Source organism: Homo sapiens, chromosome 17 (genome assembly GCF_000001405.40).
Source record: "Homo sapiens chromosome 17, GRCh38.p14 Primary Assembly".
NCBI lineage: Eukaryota > Metazoa > Chordata > Mammalia > Primates > Hominidae > Homo > Homo sapiens.
Window position 1 is genome coordinate 63,748,867 of NC_000017.11, and position 26,582 is coordinate 63,775,448.

The 26,582-nt window shown below is 42.6% G+C and overlaps 2 protein-coding genes across 6 annotated transcripts in view, besides 4 other annotated features; one reads left to right on the forward strand and one right to left on the reverse strand.

Moving 5' to 3' along the window:
* The window catches only part of CCDC47 (coiled-coil domain containing 47), a 28,343-nt gene extending 3,612 nt beyond the window's left edge, over positions 1-24,731 (reverse strand). Inside the window, exons 1-12 of one of the 2 annotated variants that reach the window (NM_020198.3) lie at positions 24,546-24,731; positions 17,046-17,328; positions 15,874-15,981; positions 15,150-15,324; positions 12,364-12,485; positions 12,048-12,113; positions 7,603-7,704; positions 7,374-7,484; positions 5,567-5,652; positions 3,875-3,933; positions 3,454-3,563; positions 3,074-3,241 (exon numbers count right to left, since the gene is read on the reverse strand). In NM_020198.3, the coding sequence (NP_064583.2) occupies positions 3,074-3,241; positions 3,454-3,563; positions 3,875-3,933; positions 5,567-5,652; positions 7,374-7,484; positions 7,603-7,704; positions 12,048-12,113; positions 12,364-12,485; positions 15,150-15,324; positions 15,874-15,981; positions 17,046-17,309 (1,371 nt within the window). In that variant the 5' untranslated portion in view covers positions 17,310-17,328; positions 24,546-24,731. Of the gene's footprint in view, positions 1-3,073; positions 3,242-3,453; positions 3,564-3,874; positions 3,934-5,566; positions 5,653-7,373; positions 7,485-7,602; positions 7,705-12,047; positions 12,114-12,363; positions 12,486-15,149; positions 15,325-15,873; positions 15,982-17,045; positions 17,329-23,910 lie in introns of both variants that reach the window. The other variant, XM_005257527.3, reaches the window with a different exon arrangement.
* Positions 24,606-25,190: an enhancer, noted in NCBI's record as "NANOG-H3K27ac-H3K4me1 hESC enhancer chr17:61850832-61851416 (GRCh37/hg19 assembly coordinates)". NCBI's record gives its function as "activates a minimal SCP1, AML or CMV promoter by ChIP-STARR-seq in primed H9 embryonic stem cells {active_cell/tissue: H9 hESC(primed)}" and the evidence as "EXISTENCE:reporter gene assay evidence [ECO:0000049][PMID:30033119]".
* Positions 24,606-25,212: a biological region, named in NCBI's record as "NANOG-H3K27ac-H3K4me1 hESC enhancer GRCh37_chr17:61850832-61851416".
* Positions 24,903-25,212: an enhancer, noted in NCBI's record as "active region_12560". NCBI's record gives its function as "activates an Ori minimal core promoter by ATAC-STARR-seq in GM12878 lymphoblastoid cells {active_cell/tissue: GM12878}" and the evidence as "EXISTENCE:reporter gene assay evidence [ECO:0000049][PMID:35858748]".
* Positions 24,934-26,582, forward strand: part of DDX42 (DEAD-box helicase 42) — a 45,518-nt gene continuing 43,869 nt past the window's right edge. The window contains exons 1-4 of one of the 4 annotated variants that reach the window (XM_047435282.1): positions 24,934-25,040; positions 25,131-25,225; positions 25,323-25,510; positions 26,242-26,312. The gene's annotated coding sequence lies outside the window, so the exon portion shown is untranslated. Of the gene's footprint in view, positions 25,041-25,130; positions 25,226-25,303; positions 25,511-26,241; positions 26,313-26,582 lie in introns of those variants that run through there. The other 3 variants (XM_047435281.1, NM_007372.3, NM_203499.3) reach the window with 3 other exon arrangements.
* Positions 25,343-25,632: a silencer, noted in NCBI's record as "silent region_8831". NCBI's record gives its function as "represses an Ori minimal core promoter by ATAC-STARR-seq in GM12878 lymphoblastoid cells {active_cell/tissue: GM12878}" and the evidence as "EXISTENCE:reporter gene assay evidence [ECO:0000049][PMID:35858748]".

Sequence of the window (26,582 nt, forward strand, 5' to 3'; positions counted from 1 at the left end):
AGCCAGGTGTGGTGGCGGGCACCTGTAATCCCAGCTACTTGGGAGGCTGAGGCACGAGAATCACTTGAACCTGGGAGGCGGAGGTTGCAGTGAGCCAAGATTGTGCCACTGCATTCCAGCCTGGGCGACAGAGTGAGTTTGTCTCAAAGAAAAAAAAAAAAAAAAGATAAATATATTTATGCTAGCACATTTAAGAGATATTTATGTTAAGTCAATACACATGAAAAATGTTCAACTTCAAATAATAATTCAAAAAATAGCTGGGCGTAGTGGCTCACGCCTGTAATCCCAGCACTTTGAGAGGCCGAGGTGGGTGGATCACCTGAGATCAGGAGTTCGAGACCAGCCTGACCAACATGGTGAAACCCCATTTCTACTAAAAAATACAAAAATTAGCCGGGCATGGAGGCAGGCACCTGTAATCCCAGCTGAGGCAGGAGAATCGCTTGAACCCAGGAGGCAGAGGTTGCAGTAAGCTGAGATCATGCCATTGCACTCTGCCTGGGCAACACAGCAAGACTATGTCTCAAACAAAACAAAACAAAACAAAACAAGTGGGATACCATTTCCCCACTACCAGAATAAGGAAAAAAAAAAAAAAAAAAGACCTGGCACGGTGGCTCACGCCTGTAATCCCAGCACTTTGGGAGGCTGAAGCAGGCGGATCACGAGGTCAAGAGATTGAAACTATCCTGAACATGGTGAAACCCCATCTCTACTAAAAATACAAAAATTAGCTGAGCATGGTGGCATGTGCCTGTAGTCCCAGCTACTAGGGAGGCTGAGGCAGAAGAATCGCTTGAACCCGGGAGGTGGAGGCTGCAGCGAGCTGAGATCGCGCCACTGCACTCCAGCCTGGTGAAAGAGCGAGACTCTGTCTCAAAAAAAAAAAAAAATTAATAACTAGTTTTTGAAAAGATGTGAGTGAAGAGGAGCTCTCTGGCTGGGCACAGTGGCTCACACCTGTATTCCCAGCATATTGGGAGGCCGAAGCGGGAGGATGGCTTGAGCCCAGGAGTTCGAAGCTGCAGCGAGCTACGATTTTGCCACTGTACTCTAGCCTGGGCAACAGAGTGAGACCCTGTCTCAAAAATAAAAATAAAAATAAATTAAAAGAAAAAAAGGAGCTTTCATATCATATACTGGTAGAGGGGGTTGGGTGGGTTGTTCTATTGAGTTCACCAGATCTTTTTACAAGGTGCCCAGACCAGATACTATAAAGTGGTAGTTCAAAAAAATTAAATGATTTACATCGACAAGAAGCTTACAATCTGACTCAGGTTAAGTTTCAGGCCCCCTCTTCCTTTAACTCATTATAGTTTCAAACCTTAGAAAGAAATGTAGAACTTCCTTTTATAGAAAAATGAAAGGCATTACCTATTAATGATTCCTCTGTAGATTCTTCACATGTACATAAAAAGCCATATTTATTTATAAAGAAGACTGCATAAACACAGAGCTACATTTTCAGGGGAAAAATACCTATCACTAAACCAAGTCAAATAAAACAAAAAAATGATAAAAGGGGTAAGATGATGATGACAGGCCTGCAGTATCCTGGGCAGTTCACTCAACAGCATTAATGACACTGCTGTCAAATGCAGGCCCGCACAGCAGCTCACATTTTCTTGGACACGTGACCCCTTTGCTCCTAAGAATATTCTTCAATTATCTCAAGATTATTCTTACTAAAATTCACATCTTTCAGAACTTTGTCCTCTCCCTTTTTTTTTTTTGAGACAGGGTCTCCCTCTGTCACCCAGGCTGGAGTGCAGTGGCTCGATCCCTGCTCACTGCAACCTCTGCCTCTCAGGTTCAAGCAATTCTCCTGCCTCAGCCTCCTGAGTAGCTGGGATTACAGGCACGCGCCACCACGCCCAGCTGATTTTTTTGTTTGTTTTTAGTAGAGACGGGGTTTCAGCATGTTGGTCAGGCTGGTCTCGAACTCCTGACCTTGTGATCCTCCCGCCTCAGCCTCCCAAAGTGCTGGGATTACAGGCGTGAGCCACCACGCCCGGCCTGTCCTCTCCCTCTTTTTTTTTTGGCTGCCCAGGCTAGAGTGCAGTGGTGTGATCATAGCTCACTGCAGCCTCAATCTCCCAGGTTCAAGTAATCCTTCCACTTCAGTCTCCCAAGTAGTTGGGACTACAGGTATGCACCACTATGCACAGCTAATTTTTTTTTTTTTTTACTAGTAGAGACAAGGTCTCATGATGTTGCCCAGGCTTGTTTTGAACTCCTGGGCTCAAGCAATCTGCTTGCCTTAGCCTCCCAAAGTGCTGGGATTACAAGCGTGAGCCACTGCACCTGGCCTTTGTTCTCTTTCTTGACCAGCATTTACAAGGTCTAAAATTTAGAGCTGAGTGGCGCACACCTGTAGTCCCAGCTACTTGGGAGGCTGAGGCAGGAGAATGGCTTGAACCCGGGAGGCGGAGACTGCACTGAGCCAATATTGCGCCATTGCACTCCAGCCTGGGTGACAGAGTGAGACTCCATCTCAAAAAAAAAAAAAAAAAAAAAAAAAAAAAAAAAAAAAAATTTAGAGCTGGACTATGGCATCTTATTTCAGAAACACATCAGATCATACCGAGCTTTCAAATATAACATACTATACCCAAAAAGCTTTTGAGTTTGAGATTCTAGTTAGGTAAAAAACAGAAAACAAAAATACAAACAAAAATATTGGAAATCTCTAATTCTATAATCAGATTTTAAATTTTACATAGCAAGTTTATTTAGATAATAGGGCGCATGTGCTGCCTTCTATTAAAATTTCTAACTTCTTTCTACCAAAGTGTTTGGCTCGAAAACTGATAATGGAATTTTCAAAATGAAATTGTGCTGGGGGAACAGGATAATACTGATAATTTTTCACGTTCACAGACTCAGTGTGGCACGGCTTGAACAGGAAGGATTATTTATTCTTCTTTATAGTGTTATCAATTGATACAATGTCCCAAATGTTGAGAAAATGCTAAACTTTTAGCCTACAAAGATTACCTTAACAACCAACAGAACACAAGCAGTCATCCTTACAAATCGTAGTTTTACCCCAGTGATAAGTTTGTCTAACCTCCAGCCTGCGCTGTTTCTCAGGATCTTCCTCATTCATGATTCGCTCCTTCTCTGCTCTTTTTTTCTCCTCCCGCCGAGACTGTGCTGCTTCCTGTCTTTGCACATGTGTCAGTTTCAAGAAGTTCTCTTCTACTCGGGCACGGTTCTTATCTGCTTTTTGTTTGCCCTTCCCCAAGAAACAAAGTATTTCATAAGAAATCCATTTCTAGTCAACAGCAACAAAATCCCGTTTAGCATTCTTTCATAAAACTACTCCCATTTGGCACTTCTAAATCAACTAGCAAAAATTCAGTCACTGAAATCATTGATAGCTGCCCTCCCCCTTGAGAAGAAACAAAAAAAGGTGCCAATTTATATAATACAGGCATTGGGTCTTACTTCTCTGTTGAGTCGGAACTTTTTGGCTTTATCAATAGAATAAATCACCATGTTCATCAGGGGTAGCAGTGCCTCCATATCCTTTGGGTAAGTGTTACCTGAGCCAGGCACTGGAAAACAAAGCCATTTTTCCTACTGAGTTAATGGTAGCATTAATATTTCCAGGTCACCCAACTCTTTTTTTTTTTTAATCTTAAGAGACTCATTTCTCTAAGTTTGTTAGGCAGTTAAAATGCAGCAGAAAATATAAATTAAAATATATAATAGGTAATTTCTTCTTGAAGAAATCTGGAAATCAGTAAGCAAGCACAGGCTTATAGTTTTGACGTAGTTTTAAAGCTATCATTTAGGAGGAAACAATACTCTCCTTAAGGTCATCTCAGAGAAGACTAAGAACCCAGAAAGGACCCAGAATACTTACCATTAAATGTAAACAACAGTGTCCTCTTAGTGTCAGGTAGCTTTAAAGGCTGACCTTCCCTGTCATAAAAGAAAAGGCAATTAAGAAGGAATACAAGAAAGATGTTTTCCATGTACACAAGTCACCCAATACACTTAGATGAACAGATACCTGCACATAATCAGCACAGTATTTGGCTTGGCATACCCAAGTCAAATATAATGAAGGAGCTTTACAGGTCATCTGGTCCACTCGTCTATCTGATGGATGCATTCTCAAGTGATCTTTATCCTATATTTGAACACCTCCAGTGATGTTCCCTCCAGGCAAGGGTATATTCCATCTCACCTGGGGAGCCAGAAATGAGCCTATATTTAAGTATGAGGCCCATATTTTAGATACATTTTTGCTTATTTTGATGCATTTTTATGTTTTATTTCCAACTCCTATTCTATCTTCCTATAACAAGGCATCTTATTATCTTATTTTTGAGTTAGGCTCAGAGTAAATTTAGGGATAATCTACTACAGCATATATAATTTAGTTCTGTCATTGAAGATTCCTTTGTAATCTCTGCCTATATGAATCCTTTGACTATCAATTGCCCTCCATCTCATATTTAAAAGGCATGATGAATGCTACAATGTGAAACACTGTCCTCAGTGCCACTGAGTTGAGCAAGACAAGGATGATGCAGCACTATCTAGAGGCATAAGGACCTGAGTAATCTTAGTATACAACTAAAATCCAGATTGGCTTGAATTGTGCTCAACTCCACAGCCTATCAGAGGGTAGTCTTTAACTAAAAATTTAGTCAGAACCAGTTTCAAACCGAGCATAAAGGTAAATAAATATGCTCTCCTGAGACAGGCTGTGAATTCAAAGAACAAATCCAAGTCCTGAATATGTACTCCTGAACAGTATTACTATAAAGCTAGAAACCCTATGGACATTGTGGGCTTCTATGCTAGGAAAGGATACAATCACTTAACTATTCAAAGAGGGAAGCCAGAAAAGGCCATAAATTACAAAACACACAGATTTGTAATCAGACATAAGTCAAACATCACACACAAATTATTATCATAAAAAAAAAGAACCTATGGACTGGGGCATGGTGGCTCACGCTTATAATTCCAGCACTTTGGGAGGCCAAGGCAGGTGGATCACGAGGTCAGGAGTTCGAGACCAGCCTGACCAACATGGTGAAACCCCATCTCTACTAAAAATACAAAAATTAGCCGAGCGTGGTGGTGCACGCCTGTAATCCCAGCTACTCAGGAGGCTGAGACAGGAGAATTGCTTGAACCCGGGAGGCGGAGGTTGCAGTGAACCAAGATTGTGCCACCGCACTCCAGCCTAGGCAACAGAGTGAGACAGCGTCTCAAACAAACAAAAAACAAAACAAAACAAAAAAACCCACTGCATTTTATTAGTACCAGCCATTCTGTAAGATTCCCAACCATCTCACTGAGTCAGTGGCACAAACATGCAGGGACACATACAAACTGGGATAGGGGAGGCTCATTTCTCTCCCATAGGTTTACAATGACCTCTTATGATGCATGCAGTCAAAGCAAAGGAAAATGTGGAGGCCTGTCACCAACTTCCTTCACACATTTGGTAAGGGATATTGCAGAAGCACCTTACAGGTGTTTCAACACAGAAAGCTAGTGAGGAAAATTAATTTCAACAATTTTATCTTATACGTACTCTTGCATAATTTTTGGACCAGAGAACTGGTCTGAAAAATGAACAGATTCAATCTTGTCAGCATAGTGTGTAAGAAAGTGAACCATCTGAAAAAAAGAAAATAATATTTTTTAAAAGCAAGGTTTAATGCATTTCCCTTTTTTTCCTAAAGATATTCACTCTTTGAGATGGTGCAACGGCTCACACCAGTAATCCCCGCACTTTGGGAGGCAGGTGGATTACTTGAGGCAAGGAGTTTGAGAATTTGAGATCAGCCTGGCCAACACAGTGAAACACCGTCTCTACTAAAAATACAAAAAAATTAGCCGGGCATGGTGGCATGTGCCTGTAACCCCAGCTATCCAAGAGGCTGAGGCACGAGAAGCGTTTGAACCCGGGAGGTGGAGGTTGCCGTGAGCAGAGACCACGCCACTGTACTCCGGTCTGGGCGACAGAGCAACACTCTGTCTCAAAAAAAAGAAAAAAAAAAAAAAAGAAATTCACCTTTCAATCCTTACTTTTATACAATGTCCTTCATTAAGACCAAAGCGTGTTCATTGCTTTTTATTTATTTTTTGTGACAAGGTGTTGCTCTCTTACCCAGGCTAGAGTGCAGTGGCACAATCATAGCTTACCATAGCCTTAATCTCCTGGGCTCAAGTGATCTTCCTGCCTCAGCCTCCTGAGTAGCTGGGACTAAAGGAACACACAACCACACCTGGCTAATTTTTTTATTGTAGAGACAGGGTCTCACTATGTTGCCCAGGCTAGTCCTGAATCCCTGGACTCAAGTGATTCTCCTGCCTCCGCCACCCAAAGTGTTGAGATTACAAGTGTGAACCACAGCGCGCGGACAAGGCTAAAGCTTTTTAAAAATTAAATTTCAATAAGATAGGGAATCTCTTTAGAATTAAAGTAGTACTCCAGGCTGGGTGCAGTGGCTCATGCCTGTAATCCAAGCGCTTTGGGAGGCCAAGGTGGGTGGATCACTTGAGGCCAGGAATTCCAGACCAGCCTGGCCAACACAGCGAAACCCCATCTCTACTAAGAAAAAAAAAAAAAAAAAAAAAGTAGTACTCCTTTTTAGTCATACCAATGATTAAGATTCTTTTCGAGCAGCTAAAAATATTTCTCAAAATAATGGTCGAAACAAGAATGAAAGCATAAAGATAACACCTAAAATAATTTCAGGGGATCCTTTATAAACATGTCACCTTGAACTTACATTTATAACCATCTCTGAGTTATCCTGTATTCTTATGATACTAAGATCTGTTACCATTACACAACCAATAGAAAGAAATGGCTCTCTCAGCCAGGCACAATGGTGGGCTCTTGCTGAGGCAGGAGGAACACTTGAGCCCAGAAGTTTTTGATGCTGCAGTGAGATCTATCACACACATGAATAGCCACTGCACTCCAGCCTGGGCAACATCTCAAGACCCCATCTTTTTAAAAACAAAGGAGGAGGGCTCTCTACACATCCCTCTTCTCCCACACAAACTGGAGCTCAAAAAAAAAAAAAAAAAAGACTAAATGACATGACGAAAAAGATTAGAAGCTATATTCCTTTTTCAAAAAAAAACCTGAAAGTCATTAGCAATCCCAGGAACAATTTGCTCTTGATTTAGAGAACTTCTTGACTAATCAAATTGTCCTTTTGACAAGCTAATTTATTGCTTAAAGAAGGTATTTTAATATTTGTGTGGGAAAGGAATGTAAAACTAATACATTGCCATAAAATGATGAACTTGTACAATGAGACTTTTAGGGAGAGTGTCCTGTAAATGCCAAGGCCTGGCAAATGTATGTCTTCTGTCGCATTTACCTTTGTATCCATCATTCCGTCTGTGACTTCTCCCATCTCTGACAGGATGGCCAAAGAGTCCGGCAGTCCATACTTTGCTCCAGACTTAGGTTTATCACTACAAAACTCACTCTAGAGGAAGAAGTAATTGAAAGTAAGATATGACCTTTTATTATGCAATGAAGCTGAATATGTGTGTGCTAAGGAGACACAGTTCTACGTATATTTGAGTTGGAGCAACCTGACATACCAAATCCTGCATCTCTTTCTGTAGTCGCACCAAGGCTTTCCGTGTGCCAACAGCAAATACGTAGGTATCCATGTCTTCATCATTCATGGTTACTTTTATTTGCTTTTAAAAAAATGTAAAAAACAACAAAATTCACCTGTTAGGTTCTGTGATAGGCAGATTTCTAAATGACCCTTAAGATTCCCTCCCCGCTGGTGCATATACTCTCCCTTTAAGTGATTGGGATTTGCAAATATGATGGAATATTACCCCCATAATCAGGCTGTTTTATGGCAGAAGGTCCCTAATCAGCTGACTGTGAATTAACCAAAAGGGACATTATCTTGGGTGTATCCAACTTAATCAAGCAAGTCCTTAAAAGGGACTATAGCCCTACTTGAAGAAGAAAGTCAAAATATGAAAGGGCTTATGGGAAGGTTGGCGGTAGGGCACATATGGTAAAGACCTAAGGGTGGCCTTTAGGAACTGAGTGGTTCCCAGTTGACAGCTAGCAAGAAAATAGGGACTACAGTAGTTCGTGCCTTTAAGCCTAGCTACCTGGGAGGCTGAGGCATGACTGCTTGATGTCAGGAGTTTGAGACCAGACCCGATCTCTAAAAAAGAAAGAAAAGGCCAGGCATGGTGGCTCACACCTGTAATCCTAGCACTTTAGGAGGCAAAAGGAGGAAGACTGCTTGAGCCCAGGAGTTCAAGACCAGCCTAGGCAACATAATGGGACCCCATCTGTACAAAAAAAAAAAAAAAGAAAGAAAAATTAGCCAGGCATTGTGATGCATGCCTGTAGTCCCAGCTACTCAAGAGGCTGAGGCAGGAGGATCGATTGAGCCCCAGAAGCTGGAGGCTGTAGTAAGTGATGATCGTGCACTCCATGCTAGGTGACAGAGCAAGACCCTGTCTCAAAAAAAATTAAAAAAAAAAAAAAAGGAAAAGAAAACAGGAACCTACACCCACAAGGAACTGAATTCTGCCAACAACCCAAATGACATTAAGAGGACCCTAAGCTTCAGAGAACTCTAACCTGAATGACATCTTGATTTCAGCCTGTTAAAACCCTAGAGGACCCACTCAATACATGCTGCACTTCTGACCTGCAGAAACGGTAACATAATAAATGAGGGTTGTTTTAAGCTGCTACACTTGGGTAATTTGCTATGTAGTAATAGAACACGAATACACTCAATACTTCACACAGGAGCACTCAAGTCCAAAAATAAAAAATAAACAAAACCTAAATGGAATAATGTGGAATAAACTGAAATATATTTGGTTTTTATCCCAGGTTTCAGGCACAGAGCTCCTAAAGCCCTTTGAATTTCCTGAATAACAAGAGTATCTTTTGTTACTTATACTGAGCCCCTTTTAATCACACCTGAGTTTATTCTAATGGGGTGACTTAACATAGACCCTAGTTAGCCTCAGGATGGTGCCGATAACCAGAAAAACCAAGTGCTTAGAGGGTAGAGACCTTCAGCCTTGCCCTTACCTCCGTGAAAGAGAGGGAGGACGAAATTGAGTTCTACAAAAACTCTTGAACAAGATTTAGAGAGCTTCCAAGCTGGTGAACACATCAACCTGCTGGGAGGGTGGTGTGCTCAGGGAGGGCATGAAAGCTCCGAACGACTCCCAACCCTGTTTCTTCCTGTGTCTTTCTTTCATTTGGCTACTCCTGAGTTTTATCCCTTATAATAAACCAGTAAATATAAGTGTCTTTTCAAGTTCTATGAGCCATTCTAACAAATTATTGGTTGAGTGGGGAGGTCATAGGAACCCGATTAATAGTTAGTTGGTCAGAAGTCCAGATGGTAGTATGGGTAACCTGGGACATTCGACTGCATCTGAAGTGGGGCAGTCTTGTGGGGCTGAGCCCTTTAATCTGTAGGATTTGAAGCTAACTCCAGGTAGATAGTGTCAGAACTGAATTGAGGCTGGGCACAGTGGCTCATGCCTGTAATCCCAGCACTTTGGGAGGCCCAGGTGAGAGGATCACTTAAGGACAGGGCAACATGAACTGCCTGGGCAACATAGCAAATCTCGGTCTCTAGAAAAAAAAAAAATTTAAATTTACAAAATTAAAAAGAATTATTATTATTATTGAATTCAATTGTGGGATACCCAGTTGGTATACAGAGAATCTGAGAATTGGCTGTTTGTATTGGAAAACAGTCCAGACAAGTAAACAGTTACTAGTACTCTGGGCCAGAAAGATAAAAAATTATAAGCCTAAAAGAGTCTGATATGATATATTTGTTATATTAATTACATCTTTAAATGCTTGGGTGAAATAATTTTTAGTATATGGAAGAAGGAAAATGTTAATATAGGAAAAGAACTGGTAAGATGGCAGCTGTAAAAGAAAACGTTTTCTGCTCTTCCATCATTGATGGGAAATTACACAAAGCAAACCTTAAACAGAATTCCAAAAAAAGGGGCAAATAAAATATAAAGAGCCACATATTTGTTGAAGCAATTTCTCTTAGCAGGAGGAGAGAGAGAGAGAGGGAATGAGAACTGAAAATGATTAAAACACTTTTAAAGAATAATTTTTACAAAAAGATGGCTGAGGATACAGCAAACTTTCCTCCTAATAAGATGGCAGTTTGTGGGAGAAAGGATGACAGAAATATTAACTGATAGGGTTCTAAATTTTAGTGGACTAAGTCATCATGGCCATGTTAGAAAAACTGAAATAAAAATACAGGTTTACAAGTAAAAATGAGATCTTTAAAATATAACAGTGGGGCTGGGTGCAGTGACTCTTGCCTGTAATCCCAGCACTTTGGGAGGCTGAGGCGGGTGGATCACCTGAGGTCAGAAGTTCGAGACCAGCCTGACCAACATGGTGAAACCCCGTCTCTACTAAAAATACAAAAATTAGCTGGGCATGGTGGCAGGCGCCTGTAATCTCAACTGCTTGGGAGGCTGAGGCAGGAAAATCGCTTGAACCCTGGAGGCGGAGGTTGCAGTGAGCCAAGGTCAAGCCATTGCACTCCAGCCTGGGTGATAGAGTGAGATTCTGTCTCCCAAAAAAAAAAAAAAAAAAATATATATATATATATATTTATATATATATATATATATATATATATATATATATATATATATATATATAAAACAATGATTTTCAATCCAATAACATTTGAAAGTACCCAATTTACATCACTAACAAAGCACTTACTAACCAAATACTATTTCACACTTTCACATATATACATATCTATCTCTTGTTCTATTATAGAAAAGAAAAAAACTGTCTTCTATATTTTTGTTTCTTGTAGCAGTGGGAGCCAGCATAATTATTTATTGAAAGAATGAAGAGGCCGGGTGCAGTGGCTCATGCCTGTAATCCCAGCACTCTGGGAGGCCAACACGGGCGGATCACGAGGTCAGGAGATCGAGACCATCCTGGCCAACATGGTGAAACCCCATCTCTACTAAAATACAAAAAATTGGCTGGGAGTGGTGGCGGACGCCTGTAGTCCCAGCTACTCGGGAGGCTGAGGCAGGAGAATTACTTGAATCCAGGAGGCAGAGATTGCAGTGAGCCGAGATTGCACCACTGCACTCCAGCCTGGCAACAGAGCAAGACTCCGTCTCAAAAAAAAAAAAAAAAAAAGAAACAATGAAGAAGGAATGTGGTATTTGTGACAAAGGACACAATTTGCAGATAAACATATTGATTTAATAAAGGAAAGAAGATACACCAAACATAAGGTCCTCAGATCATGACTGGAGCTTATTCGGCCAGAAACGTATTATTTGAAGCAAAACATATTTGAGAAGAAACCCAGCTATCTGCCAAAGATAAAAACATATACAAGGAGCCAAGTTACCCATGAGGGCCATTACCTTTCACAATTGCTTTGCCCTCTATTGTCAAGGCTAACTCCATTGATCTATGTGGTGACAGAGTATCACCTCTTTCCTACCAAAAGGCCCATGAAGGCCCCCTGACAGTTGCACAGAGTGGAAGATGATGCTCTGTCCAAGGAGAAAAAGGGTCCATTTTTTGTCAAGGGACATAAATTGCCAGAAACTCCAAACACAATCCAGGCAGAAATGGAAAAAGCTCTAGGAAATAATTCAGTCTGGGGAAAGCGTGATGGCTCACGTCTATAATCCCAGCACTTTGGGAGGCCAGAGTGGATGGATCACTTGAGGTCAGGAGTTCGAGACTGGCCTGGCCAACATGGTGAAACCCTGACTCTACTAAAAATACAAAAATTGGCCAGGCGTGGTGGTGGGCATCTGTAATCTCAGCTACTTGGGAGGCTGAGGCAGGAGAATTGCTTGAATACGGGAGGCAGAGGTTGCAGTGAGCCAAGATCATGCCATTGCACTCCAGCCTGAGCAACAGAGTGAGACTCCATCAAAAAAAAAAAAAAAAAGAAAGAAAGAAAACAAATAATTCAGTCTGTACACAGAAAACCAGCGGGAAGAATACATACCACTTGATCACTCACTGGCCTCATCATCCGGGCCAGGACATTCAGTAAGTCTTGTCTCTTGAGGAACTGAAAAAAATGAGAGAAGTAAGTAAATCCAACTGCAACTCCTACTTAGTATAAAAAAAAGGCCTTGAAGGAGAATCAAATGCTTCATCAAATATACTTTACGACACATTTGCCAGTTAGTATAAATATCACTTTTAGACCTCATTTTAAGTCAAACATGAAGGGATAAGATGCTGAATTGGGGGGCTGGGAATCACAACTGGACAAAATTAAGGGAAGATATATATCGTACAAGAAGTTTCCTACTTACCCTCAGCTGGATAAGCATGCCCTCACAGCACACTCGACCAGAACACCACAGGTTATAGATGTGCTCATTCTCCTGGTTCAACTTTCCTGTGCTTGTGGCTTCTTTGTTAGTTCCATCATCCCCTAGGGGTAAAACCACTTAATGTGACTCAACAGAAAATGTCAAGGCCGGGCCGGGGGTGGTGGCTCACGCCTATAATCCCAGCACTTTGGGAGGCTGAGGTGGGTGGATCACGAGGTCAGGAGTTCGAGACCAGCCTGGCCAGCATGGTGAAACCCTGTCCCTACTAAAAAAAAAAAAAAAAAAAATTATAAAAAATTAGCCGGGCATGGTGGCGCGTACCTGTAGTCCCAGCTACTCAGGAGGCTGAGGCAGGAGAATAGCTTGAACCCGGCAGGCGGAGGTTGCAGTGAGCTGAAATCGCACCATTGTACTCCAGCCTGGATGACAGAGCAAGACTCTGTCTCAAAAAAAAAAAAAGGAAACAAGGCCGAATACCTCACGTTCCTCTACCCTGACCACAAAATGATCACAGCTTCAGAGTAGCAATACTTTGCTGTCTTATAGAACTGTTTGGACAGGGACTGAAATAGATTAGCACTGTTCGTTTTACTTTTAAAACTATTGTCTGTATTAGAAGAAATATGGATTCTAAGCACATGCTTGTCAGTTTAACGATGATCAGCTTAGAGTATAAGTCTCTCAGAGTACATACAAAATGGGAAAAAAATCAGTTGAAATATCTCTGCCAAAAGTTAAAAACTCCTATGGAGTGAATAAAAAATACCATTAATACAAACTACTCAACAATTTCTCACTATGTCTCCTATGAATTAACTTTAACCAAGCTTTCTTTTCCAATGCAAAATGATAACTGGGTCTTACTAATGGTATTAAGAGTTGTATTTTAACTCTAGAAAAAAGCTCAAATTCCAATACTTTCTCTCTTCATTTAATTCATTAAGTATACAAAAGAAATTGCTCAACCTCACAAGGGAAAACGGACTGATACACCAAATGAAAACAAGCAAGGGGAAGTAGAAGGAGCCAAAGCTGCTCATTTATTTTTTTTCGAATTTCCTGGTCAAAACATACTCTGAAATACTATGGTATAGTGGAGACGGGGTGGACTTTGCAAACAGGTAGATAAGTTCTGATATCTTGGTTGCAATTTAACAGCTTAGATAAGTTTTAACATTTCTGCCCTTCAGTTTCCTCCTTAGGAAAACAGCAACTATAGCCAATTGACAGTGTTGTTACAAAAAGTAAATAAGAAACACTGTATGCAAAGTATCTAGCATAATATATAAACACTACTGTGTTGCAGAGCAGGTGGATACATGCTTACTATTAAAGAGAAATAAGGTGCTAAATGCCAAATAGGTGAATGTGAGGTTAGTCCACCTCATTCCCTACATTGCACAACTACAGAGGTTCCTTGAAGTCCTTCAATGTATATTTCAGCAGTGGATCCAAAACTCAAGTGTCAGATTCTAAGGGAATTTTGAGGGACTTTCAATTTCTAAAAGATGAATTGAGAGCATTTATCAAGCTACCTAAAATGTCAAACTTTCTTGGTTTCCGTCAGAATTTTATCAACTTGTTTTGAAAACATCGATTACATTATACTAATCAGAAGCTGTTTAGCAATTTTACTGCTGACTCATGAAAGATGAGAAAATTATTAAATACAATATATTCTTATTTTTAGAAACAGGGTCTCATTCTGTCACCCAGGCTGGAGTGCAGGAGCATGATTCTGTACCACTGCAGCCTCAAACTCCTGAGCTCAATTCTCCCACCTCATCCTCCCAAGTAGTTGGGACCACAGAAGCACACCACTGTGACTGGCCAATTTTTATTTTATTTTATTTGTAGAGACAAGGTCTCACTATGTTGCCCAGACTGGTCTTAAACTCCTGGCCCCAAATAATCCTCCCACCTTGGCCTCCCAAATCACTGGAATTACACGTGTGAGCCACCGCACCGGGCCAAAAAACAGGATCCTCAAGGCTGGATGCAGTAGCTCACGTCTGTAATCCCAGCAATTTGGGAGGCCAAGGCAGCCAGATTGCTTGAGCCCAGGAGTTCGAGACCAGCCTGCACAATATGATGAAACTCTGTCTCTACAAAAAAAATACAAAAATTAGCTGGGTGTGGTAGCATGTGCCTGTAGTCCTGTCTACTCAGAAGGCTAAGATGGAAGGATCTCTTGAACCTGGGAGGTCGAGGCTGCAGTGAACTGTAATCATACCACTGCACACAAGCCTGGGTAACAGCGTGAGACCTTGCCTCAAAAAAATAAAAATAAAAAGGCCGGGTGCAGTGGCTCATGCCTGTAATCCCTGCAATCTGGGAGGCCGAGGTGGGTGGACCATGAGGTCAAGAGATTGAGACCATCCTGGCCAACATGGTGAAACCCCGACTCTACTAAAAATACAAAAATGAGCAGGGCATGGTGGTGCACGCCTGTAGTCCCAGCTACTTGGGAGGCTGAGGCAGAAGAATCGCTTGAACCCAGGAGGTGGAGGTTGCAGTGAGCCGAGATCGCGCCACTGCACTCCAGCCTGGTGACAGAGTGAGACTCCATCTCAAAAATAGTAATAATAATAATAAAATTAAATTAAATTAAAAAAAAAAAGAGCAGGGGGAATCCTTGAGAGAAAAAACAATGCACCCTCTTTGGTATTCCATGAAAGCAGTTAGATGCTTATACTGAGGGGAATACATCATCCTTACCAGATTGTTTTCAAGCAAGAAGCTGGGCTGACATTGGCCTCACTTACCCACTAAAGTAAAGTTGCTCTCCAAAAGCTCCCTATGAGTGTTAAACCAGGCCTGTGCAAGGCGACTGTTTTTATTCTTCCCAATGATGTAATTCATGATATAAGCAAGCAGACCAGTCACCATCAAAATTTCTAGATAATAACTCTCCCAGCTGTTCTGGAGGTGTGCAGGAACCTAAAAAAGCAAAATCATTCCATTAAATGTTGGCTGAGACTGAAGAATGAAATCTACCTCATGGCAGGAAGAATGAGAAAATCCATAAACAGAAGGGATACTTCAGATATCTGTCATTGAATAAGGTTATACTTTGAAAAATAGGTCCATTTTACTTTTCTAGGCTAGCTTGATAAAAGATTCTTTAAGGAAATATAAGGACAATCAAATGGGATGAAAAGCTGGAAAGCCCTTTGTTTTACACTTGGTCCTTAACCCCCAAATAAATTCAATGTACTGTACATCACCAAGGAATAAATTTTACTTATTCCCTGATAAGTAGTAAAACTAGAAGTGCTACAATGATGAATAGGGGTTGCTTCTGTAGGTGTTGATTTTTTTTTTTTTGAGACGGAGAGGTGTTGATTTTTATCAGAAAAATTGATGTCAAGCTCCTTCTCAGCTCCCACTATTGCATTAACACCAGCTATACATCATTAATTTTATTTCTGGGATTGATGACAAGACATTTTGTTGTTTAGTTGGGAATTCAGAATCCTGGATACCTACATCAACAATCGTTATTGGGTCTTTATTTTTGCTAGAAGAAGTATCTGGTTTGTCTTCATAACCTTCAAATTCTTCATCATCATATGGTTCACTCTCAGTATCTCCCTCCTACAAAAATGAGGCATCATCCGTTTTCCTCTACAAATGTCACCAGCAGCTGTGTCTCATTTTGTTGGCAACATTTGTTGGGGAAAACAAGAACGTGTAAGCAGCAAGCACAGAAAACAGATGTTACATGTTTTTAACAAAACGATTGGGTACAAATTTCAGCTTAAAATGAGAAAGTTCTGAAGACCTAATGTGCAGCAAGGTGACTACAGTTAATAATAATGTATTGTAGACTTGAAATCTGCTAAGAGAATATATTGTAAGTATTCTCACCACACACACACACACACACACACACACACACACACGGAGGCAACTATGTTAATTAGCTTGATTGTGGTAAGCACTTCATATTGTATGTAGAGGTATACCAAAACACTATGTTGTGCACCTTAAATATATACAATTTTTGTCAGTTACACCTCAATAAAGCTGGGGAGCACCCAAAACACCAAAATGATGAGTCCCCATGCTTTTGATGACAAAGTTTTTTCTTTTCTTTTTTTTTTTGGAGACAAGGTCTTGCTCTATCACCCAGGCTGAAGTGCAGTGGCTCAATCTCAGCTCACTGCAACCTCCACCTCCCAGGTTCAAGCGATTCTCTTGGCTCAGCCTCCCAAGTAGCTGACATGACAGGCACGCACCACCACGCCCAGCTAATTTTGTATTTTTAGTAGAGACAGGGTTTCACCATGTTGGCCAGGCTGGTCTCAAACTCCTGACCTTGGGTGATCTGCCTGCCTTGGCCTCCCAAAGTGCTGGGATTACAGGCATGAGCCACCGTGCCCAGCCAATTGCAAAGTTCTAAATAATACAATTCTCACCCACAAACAGTATCTATTCTCTAACCCCTCTTCCAGTCAGGGTTTCAATAGAAGAACACAATTCATTCTGTTAATGTAAAAGGTGGAAACTTACCACAGAACATTTAGAAGAGCTCTACCTAGTGAATGAAAATGAAGACTCCAGACAGTAAAGGTCTCTTGAGCCTGAGGATTAATTTTAATGTTTGGGAAAGGTGCTAGTTACAAATTTTTCCAATAAATTAATAAAAAGAGCCTCACCTGGGTATCTGCATCTTCAAAATCTCCTTCTTGGTTTTCATCCTGCCCTTCCAACTCCACAGTGGTCTCATCTTCATCATCTTCAGTGATTATGACCCGTTGAGGAGATTCAGTAACAGAGTCTTCCATGACATCCTCAAATTCAGCGAAGTCATTATCATCATACTCTACTATGTCCTCCTCATCCTCAAAATCATCAAACTTGGCTTCAGAGACACTCCCAAACACCAGAAGGACAACACAGAAAGTGTGGAAGGCTTTCATTGCACCTTGAGAAAAAAAGCTTAAAAAAAAAGAGAACCCCAAAATGGATTGCCATTCTATACATACTGATCAGATTTTATAAACAGTAAAAATCTATAAACCTCTCCTGCTTTTCTCTTATTTGGTACTATTAGATTCAGACCACATTATATAAAGAACAATGAAGTAAGGTCAAGAGGCTTGGGTTCTAGTCTGGATCCTGGCACTACATATCTGTAAAATCTTCAACAAGTCATCAAGTCATTTATTTAATTTCTTTTTTTTTGAGACGGAGTTTTGCTCTTGTCGCCCAGGTTGGAGCACAATGGTGTGATCTTGGCTCACTGCAACCTCTGCCTCCTGGGTTCAAGCGATTCTCCTGCCTCAGCCTCCCGAGTAGCTGGGATTACAGGCATGTGCCACCACGCCTGGCTAATTTTTGTATTTTTAGTAGAGATGGGGTTTCACCATGTTGGCCAGGCTAGTTGTGAACTCCTGACCTCAGGGTGATCCATCTGTCTCGGCCTCCCAAAGTGCTGGGATTACAGGTGTGAGCCACTGTGCCCAGCCCAAGTCATTTAATTTCTTTAGGTTGGGTTTTCTAAAACTCTGTCCATTTACATAGAGTATTCAATAAGCATTTTTTGAGGGCCTATTAAAAAGCTTTCTATAGAAAATGAGAAGGAGGTAAAAATGAAGGAATAAGATGTAGCTATTTATCTGTTAGTGGTAACAAGAATAATCCATGAATAAAAAAGCCATTCACCCTTAGATTGATTTGTGTTCATGCATGAACATAATTATCATAAGAGCAAACACTTAAATCACTATGTGCTAGACACTGTTCCAAAGACTTTACAAAAAGCAACTAATTTAATCCTCATAACAACCCTCTAAGGAAAGCTGCAACATTAACATCCCCATTTCACTAATAAGGAAAATGGGGCAGAGAGATGCTAAGTAGTACAACTACCAAGTGACAAAGAGCTGTGATTTAATCCCAGAGTTTTGCCTCCAGAGTCCATGCTATGAACCACTTCTCAGGCTGCATCTCAAATGTGGTAGGTGGCTGTGCTTTCATATTACTTGCTTAGAAGCAGTAATTTTTTGCTAACCAATTGTTCTTAGTGTGTATGATGGAATTCAATGTATCATCATTTTATAGCTTTTTGAAGAACATTAAGTTTTCTAATACGTGAAAAAAGCTTCTGCATTAACAAATATAATGATATCATATCTGTGACAAAATATGTGCCAAATTATATGAAAACATGGACAACAATGTAACCATTTTCCCAAATAGGTAAGGCTTTACAAAAAAAAAAGTGGGGAGACCATTTGAGCTGAAATTTGAAAAGTATATTTCAACCATCAAACCCATTTAGGCTGTATTTCCAGTCCTGTCCCTCATCTAAACACCAGCCCTATGTCATAACTCACTGTAACCTTGAAGACATATCTGTTTTGACGCCCTACAAACTTTTCGTGTATCTAGTAAGATAGTAAATATTCTAGGCTTCATGGGGTACATACTGGTCTCTGCTGCATATTGTTCTTTTTTTAAAAAAAACTTTAAAACAATATAAAGACCATTCTTACTTCACAGGCCTCCCCTCAGGCTGACCCAATCCCTGCCTATAGTCATCTCAAAATCATCAGGTATCTGAATTTCTCTATTCGTATATTAATATCAATCACATTTTTCCAGTCTTGCTTGTTGAAAAGAACAAGATATCTAATGTTTTGCCTTCTTTTTCCTTTGAAATCTATCAGCCATCAAATCCTGGTGTTTCCTTCTTTGATTCCTATAGCCACTACAAGTTACCCCCACCTGCTGAAGAGCCACCATATTATTTTAAATGGTATCGTCTTAATGCTCTCCCCACTCCCTACTTTTCCTCCCTAAAAACTACCAGCATCTGTCTAAAACAGAACTTTTGTTACATATAAGGATTCAATAATCATCAAAGGCTAACCAATTATTGCAAAGTAATATAAAAACTCCTTTGGCATTCACTGCTTTTCACAATGATCCTACTGTAATTAAATGTACCTTCACTAAGCATATCGCCACAGTAGGTACTATGCCAAGATAAAGCACAATTCCTGAACTGAACATAAATTTGCACAGGAATTCAGCTTCAAGGACATGTGCTACAATATTATTTATGATGGTGAAATTTGGTTAAACTCTTTGGTTAAACTATGGATGTATCAAAAACCAAAGCTACTGTTGTCCATTAAAAATTGTTACATAGGGTGGTGGCTCTCCCCTGTAATCCCAGCACTGTGGGAGACTGGGGTGAGTGAACTGCTCGAGCCCAAGAGTTGGAGACCAGCCTTGGCAACATGGCGAAAACCCACCTCTACAAACAAAATAGAAAAATTAGCTGGGTTTGGTGGCATGTGCCTGTAGTCCCAGCTACTCAGGGCACTGAGGTGAGAAAATTGCTTGAGCTCACGAGGCCGGCCGAGGCTGCAGTGAACTGTGATCATGCTAATGCATTCCAGCCTGGGTGACAGTGAAACGTGCCTCAAAACAAAACACAAATAACAAAAGAAAAACCCCCAAGTAATTAAAAAAAAATTGTTACACAGCCTGGGCAACACAGTGAGACTTCCCCTCTACAAAAAAGCTTTTAAAAATTAGCCAAGTCTCACGCTCATTCCTGTAATCCCAGCAGTTTGGGAGGCCAAGGTAGGCAGATCACTTGAGGTCAGGAGTTTGAGACCAGCCTGGCCAACATGGTAAAATCCTGTCTCTACTAAAAATATTTAAAAAATTAGCCAGCGTGTGGCGTGACTTGTAATCCCAGCTACTTGGGAGGCTGAGGTATGAGAATCACTTGAACCTGGGAGGCAGAGGTTGCTGTGAGCTGAGATTGTACCACTGCACTCTAGCCCGGGTGACACAGGGAGACTCTGTCTCAAAAAAAAAAAAAAAAAATTAGCCAAGTCTGGTGGTGTGCACCTGTAGTCCAGCTATTCTGGTGGCTGAGGTGGGAGAATCACCTGAGCCCAGGAGGTTGAGGCTTCAGTGAGCCATGACTGCGCCACTGCACTACAGCCTGGGCAACAGAGCAAGGCTGTCTAAAAGAAAAAAAAAAAACAAAATGTTACAAATGAAGTCGAAACCCAGATCATTTTAGAAGCAAATGCACATAAAGAAAAAGGTTTGGCTGTGTGCGATGGCTCACACCTGTAATCCCAGCACTTTGGGAGGCTGAGGTGGGCAGATCACCTGAGGTCAGGAGTTTGAGGCCAGCCTGACCAACATGGTGAAACCTCGTCTCTGCTAAAAATACAAAAATTAGCCGGGCATGGTGACAGGCGCCTGTAATCCCAGCTACTTGGGAGGCTGAGGCAGGAGGATCGCTTGAATCAGGAGGTGGAGGTTGCAGTGAGCCGAGACAGCGCCATTGCAGTCCAGCCTGGGCAACAAGAGTGAAACTCCATCTCAAAAAAAAAAAAAAAGAAAAGAAAAGAAAAGAAAAAGAAAACAAAAAAGTTTAACAGGGATGTCAAATTTTTTGGTTTCCCTGAGGCACAACGGAAGAAGAATAATTGTCTTGGGCCACACATAAAATACACTAACACTAATGATAGCCAATAAGCTAAAAAATATCTCATAATGTTTTAAGAAAGTTTACGAATTTGTGTTAGGCCACATTCAAAGCTGTCCTGGGTCACATGCGGCCTGCAGGCCATGGGTTGGACAAGCTTGGTTTAGAAAAACATACATTTACATACAAATATTAGTTAGCTTGTATGGTAGAATTCTGGATATTTTGTCTTTATTTTTCTTTCTTTTTTTTTTTTTTTTTGAGGCAGAGTCTCACTCTGTAGCCCAGGTTGGAGTGTAGTGGCGTGATCTCGGGTCACTGCAACCTCTGCCTCCTGGGTTCAAGCGATTCTTCTGTCTCAGCCTCCTGAGTAGCTGGGTTATAGGCACTCACCATCATGCCTGGCTAATTTTTTTTGTAGTTTAAGTACAGATGGGGTTTCACCATGTTGGCCAGGTTGGTCTCGAACTCCTGACCTCAGGTGATCCACCTGCCTCGGCCTCCCAAAGTGCTGGGATTACAGGCATTTACAGGCATGAGCCACCGTGCCCGGACTAATTTTTTTTTTTCTGTAGTGTACTTTTGTCACTAGAGAAGAGGCATTGCAGACTGCGGAACAGGTTTGGCATGGAGGCCTGAAATAGCATATTTTAGGAGCCTGGTATGATAGGACATTGGGTTTGTAGACTCAAGTGGGAGAAAGGAGGCTGGAAAGGCCCTCAGGGGCCAGGTCATGATGAAATCATTACTGGCAACTGCAGGGAAGTGATAAGGATGGAAGCCATAATGCAAGCAATTGAGTATTAACGGAAGTGAGAGTATGGCAAAGGGAAATATGTACTACTCTTTCAAGGTGCTCTGAGATGGAGAATATTCTAAATCTCATTTATAGCACTGAAACTTCTTAAAGAAATCAGTTTAATATCGAAGGTTATTGTCGAATGCCTTGCAATCCATGGATGCTCAAGAAATTAAATGCTCTTAAAGGCTGGGCGCAGTGGCTCACACCTGTAATCCCAGCACTTTGGGAGGCCAATACGGGCAGATCAGCGGAGGTCAGGAGTTCGAGAACAGCCTGGTCAACATGGTGAAATCCCGTCTCGACTAAAAATACCAAAAAATTAGCCAGGCATGGTGGCACACACCTGTAATCCCAGCTACTTGGGAGGCTGAGGCAGGAAAATTGCTTAAACTTGGGAGGCGGAGATTGCAGTGAGCCAAGATCATGCCACTGCACTCCAGCCTGGGTGACAGAGCGAGACTGTGTCAAAAAAAAAAAAAAGAAAGAAAGAAAGAAAGGAAGGAAGGAAGGAAGGAAGGAAGGAAGGAAGAAAGAAAGAAAGAAATTAAATGTTCTTAGAATTAAAGTTCATAAAATTTGAAAGGTACAAATGATTTTGAGAAATGCCATAAAGGATAGGCCAACGGTACAGTAGGCCCTACCCATGGGTTCCACATCTGTGGATTCAACCAACCACAGATGGAACAGATTTGGAGGCAAGAACAGTTAAAAAAAAATACAATTAAATTAGGTATTATAAGTAATCTAGAGATAATTATATAGTGTATATACATATACATATATAAGTATATGGTAGGAGGTGCATAGGTTATACGTAAATACTACACCATTTTATATAAGGGACTTGAGTATCCATGGATTTTGGTATTCTCAAGGGGTCCTGGAACCAATCCCCCATACATATCAAGGGAGAACTAAACATTCTTTTTATACTAGTTGATCCTTCAGGTTAGTATCAAGGGACAATCTATGGGAAAGCATGCCACTTTGTCAATGCCAGCCTCAAAGAGGTATGGGATGTGTCTCTAAACATCCCTAGCTTCCTTTAACCATCTTTAGTTACTAATGAGTGTTTTTAAACTCTGGAATGTATATTTTCCACTTCCACTAGGCCTAAGGGTCTTCAGTCCTCTAAATTACTACCTGTTAAAGTTTCTCTTCTAGTTTTTCTAGGCTTTCCCTCTAGTTCTCATGTTGTGATATTTGGTCAAAAGTGGAAGAAATATAGAAAACAGCACATACTTTGGTGAAATTAGACTTGGTTTAAAATGTCAGCTCTAGGCCAGGCGTGGTGGTCCACGTCTGTAATCTCAGCACTTTGGGAGGCCGAGGTGGGTGGATCATTTGAGGTCAGGAGTTCGAGACCAGCTTGGCCAAAATAGTGAAACCCCACCTCTACTAAAAATACAAAAATTAGCCGGGCGTGGTGGCAGGCACCTGTAATCCCAGCTACTCGGGACGCTGAGGCAGGAGAATCGCTTGAACCCGAGAGATGGAGGTTGTAGTGAGCCAAGATTGCGCCACTGCACTCCAGCCTGGGCAACAGGGTGAGACTCTGTCTCAAAAAAATAGATAAATAATAAAATAAAATGTCAGCTCTACCATTTACCAGCAATATGACCTTAGCCTAATTACTTAAAATTCCCTGTTCTCCACATACAAAAAAGGGATACCATTTGCTACTTGCCTCTTAGGGCTGCAGTGGGTATTACGGGAGATATGTACCAAGGGTTTTTTTTTTTTTTTTTTTTTGAGACGGAGTCTGACTCTGTCACCCAGGCTGGAGTGCAGTGGCACGATCTCGGCTCACTGCAAGCTCCGCCTCCCGGGTTCACGCCATTCTTCTGCCTCAGCCTCCCAAGTAGCTGGGACTACAGGCGCTCGCCACCACGCAGGGCTAATTTTTTGTATTTTTAGTAGAGACGGGGTTTCACTGTGTTAGCCAGGATGGTCTCGATCTCCTGACCTCGTGATCCACCCGTCTCGGCCTCCCAAAGTGCTGGGATTACAGACGTGGGCCACCGCGCCCAGCCTCCTTTTCAAATCCTACTCTTAAAACTTTTTTTTCATATAGAAGCAACTAAAAGTTAACACCGGAACAGTCAACTCGATTAACAGCCTGCCAAAAGATCCGATCATTTCAAATTGAATTTCCAATTAGAATATTCACACCATAGAAACACTTCTGAGATAACTCAGCACTATAATGGAGATCCTTCAAGGTTATTTAGGTTACAATCATCCAAGCCATTTTTACCTTGGTTTTCCCTCTTAGAAGTCTCCGCTGCACCTGTCAGTTCTCAAATGCACAAGTCCTTGCCAGACCACCCAGCCTCTATGACTCCTGAAGCAAGCAACACAGGACCAAGGAAAATTCACACAAGCGCTAACAAGTCTGGTTTGATTATTTTCTGCAAGCTCATCCAATAGTTCCTCAGCGACTGAGTCTAGACTTGAGGAAAGAGGACTGAGTGAGGCCATCATTCCTTGTTGTCATTTTAGATTAGGTCTTCCTGACAACGGCCAAAACGAGTATTCTGGAAATCATGCAGACTTTCCTCTGTCTCTTTATATGTGTTGGATACAAACACGTTTCATTTTAGAAACCTCCAGAAGAGACTGGCCACAGAGGTTTTTGCTTCTATTAAACCCCTTTGCCTAGTTTCTCCCCACCCAAGAGAATCAATACATCCTAATGTCATCCTCCGGCACACACTGTACATTTCCTCTAACTCTGCCCTTTTGGCTATCATTTGCTCACAGCTCCGTGGGAAAGTTCCCCCAAACCATTACAATTATCTCAACCGGACCGGGCTACAGGCCAAGCAACTCGGAGTCACCGCTCGGCCTGGCCCGGCCACGCCGACGAGCGCGTCCTGGCCCGCTCCTTACCTGTGGCCGAAGCCGAAACCCGGCCCAGCGCCCTGCGTCCGACACCCCTGCCCGGCCTGCCTCTCGGCCTGGCCGCCGCCTCCGCGATCGCAGCGGTTTTACTGCCCCGGATGCCTCTAGGACGCAGCCAGAACCGTAGCTCAGTCACGCCGCGCCTCTCTTCACGTAGCCTCCGCCGTCCGTTACGTAGAATGCGAGCGGCTCGTCAGCGCCTGCGCGCAGCCTGCGGGGCGGGACGCAACCCCGGGGAAAGCGCGAGACCTCCCTCTCTCCCGCCCGGCTGAGGCGAGGTGGGGCTTTTGGGAAAATTACATAATCCCCGCCCCTGGGCCGGAACTGCCCTCGCCTATCCCAATCCTCCTACCTAGGATTCCGTCAAGTTGACGTCACACGGAACCGGTGCTCCGGAAGCTAAAGGTGGCCATGCTGTGTGGGACCACGTGGCCAGAGGCAAGAGTGTCGCTCTAGTAGTATATGCAACAGTTTAAACTATAGGCATGTTCATGTAAATATGGTTTCTGTCCAACCCGTTTTCTCTTGGGATTTTTGGCTAGCCCCTTGACGCCACTTTTTCTTCATTCGCAGACCCACTTTCTAGATGGGTCATGAACACTGTCCACCCAACTGCAGTTTCCCGTCAGAGTATCTGAGGAGCCTGTGAGGCGTTCTGGAGCTTTAAGGTCAGGCGCCTTCCGGGAGCCGTAGCCCCGGCCCCGCCCTTCTGCCCGCGCGTTCCTCACTGCGCATGTCGCGTTTTTGTTCCCCTCCCCCCTTCAGCAACGGGCCGTGAGGCGGTGGCGGTGGTGGCGGTGGCGGCGGCGGTGGTGGTGGTGGCGGCGGCGGCGGCGAAGGGGGCGGAGAGGAAGGAGCGCGGCGGGACCGGGCCGGGACAGCGCGTACTTTGGGCTCCGGGATTCGCTCCGCGCCCGCGGTTGTAGCAGCTGCCGCTGCAGCCATAGCAGCAGGTTTGTGCGTGGGGTTTCTGGACGCAAGGCCGCCAGTCCTTGGGGGCACTGGAGGCAACTGCTGGGCCTAGCGAGGGCGGAGGAACCGCGGCCTCGCTTAACAAAGAGTCGGCAGAGCCTCGGGGCACCGGCGGCCGGGGTGCCGGGAAGGGGTGGGAGTGGGGGCTGAGGCCTCTAGGGTTCCTTCCTAGCCGCGTCGCCCTCCCACAGCTCCCGCTTCCCTCACAAGTCTTACCGAGGCCCAGTTGGCGGCTTTCCGGAGGCGGCGCCCCCTCGCCTAGGAAAAGGATTTGCAGGGTGCCCGGCTCCAGGGCAGGAATAGCGCGGGGAGAATTCTGACCCAAGGAGGCAGCGCTTGGGAGATGCAGGCCTCCGAATTTGGGGTCCTGAGAGGCAAAAGCTGCCAAATGAGAGGAGTGAAAAGATATAGGCGATGATCTTTGTGCAGCGTTGAGTAGGTCGATTATTAGCATCACTGTAGTCACACAAACTTTTTTGCGGCCTACTTGAGAGCGTATCTGATGTGAATAAATAATTTACATGGAATTGCAAACATATGCATCAAAAACAGGAGAAGCTGTCGAGAGTTTTGGGGAATTACATTCTCATCACTGAGAATTTCCCTCTTGCCCCCACTCCTATAGGCAGTTATCCAATTTCTTGTGGCTTCCCTGTGTTTTCTTTTTGTCAATGATGTTTCTATGTCTGTCCTCTCTCGTATACACACCCAGGACTTCCTCAAGCGCAGGGACTATGTCTTAAGGCGCTTTGCAGAGCCAAGCTCATTTCTGGCACATAAGAGGTGAGCAATGAGTGTTTCGTACAAAAATTAATGTTTATATTTTGACAGCTGGGAAAAGAAAATATATCTTCCTGTACCTGGAAGAAGCATTGTGTAGCCTAATGTGCAATTCGTTCATTCAAGGGGTATTTTTATTGGTGCCTATTCTCTAGCGCCGTTCTAGGTGATAGGGATAGGTGTTAGACCCCTGCCTTTGGGGAACTTAACTTTCTAGTAGCGGGAGGAGAGGCAAACAGATACATATATTATACTGAATGTTAGAAGATGATC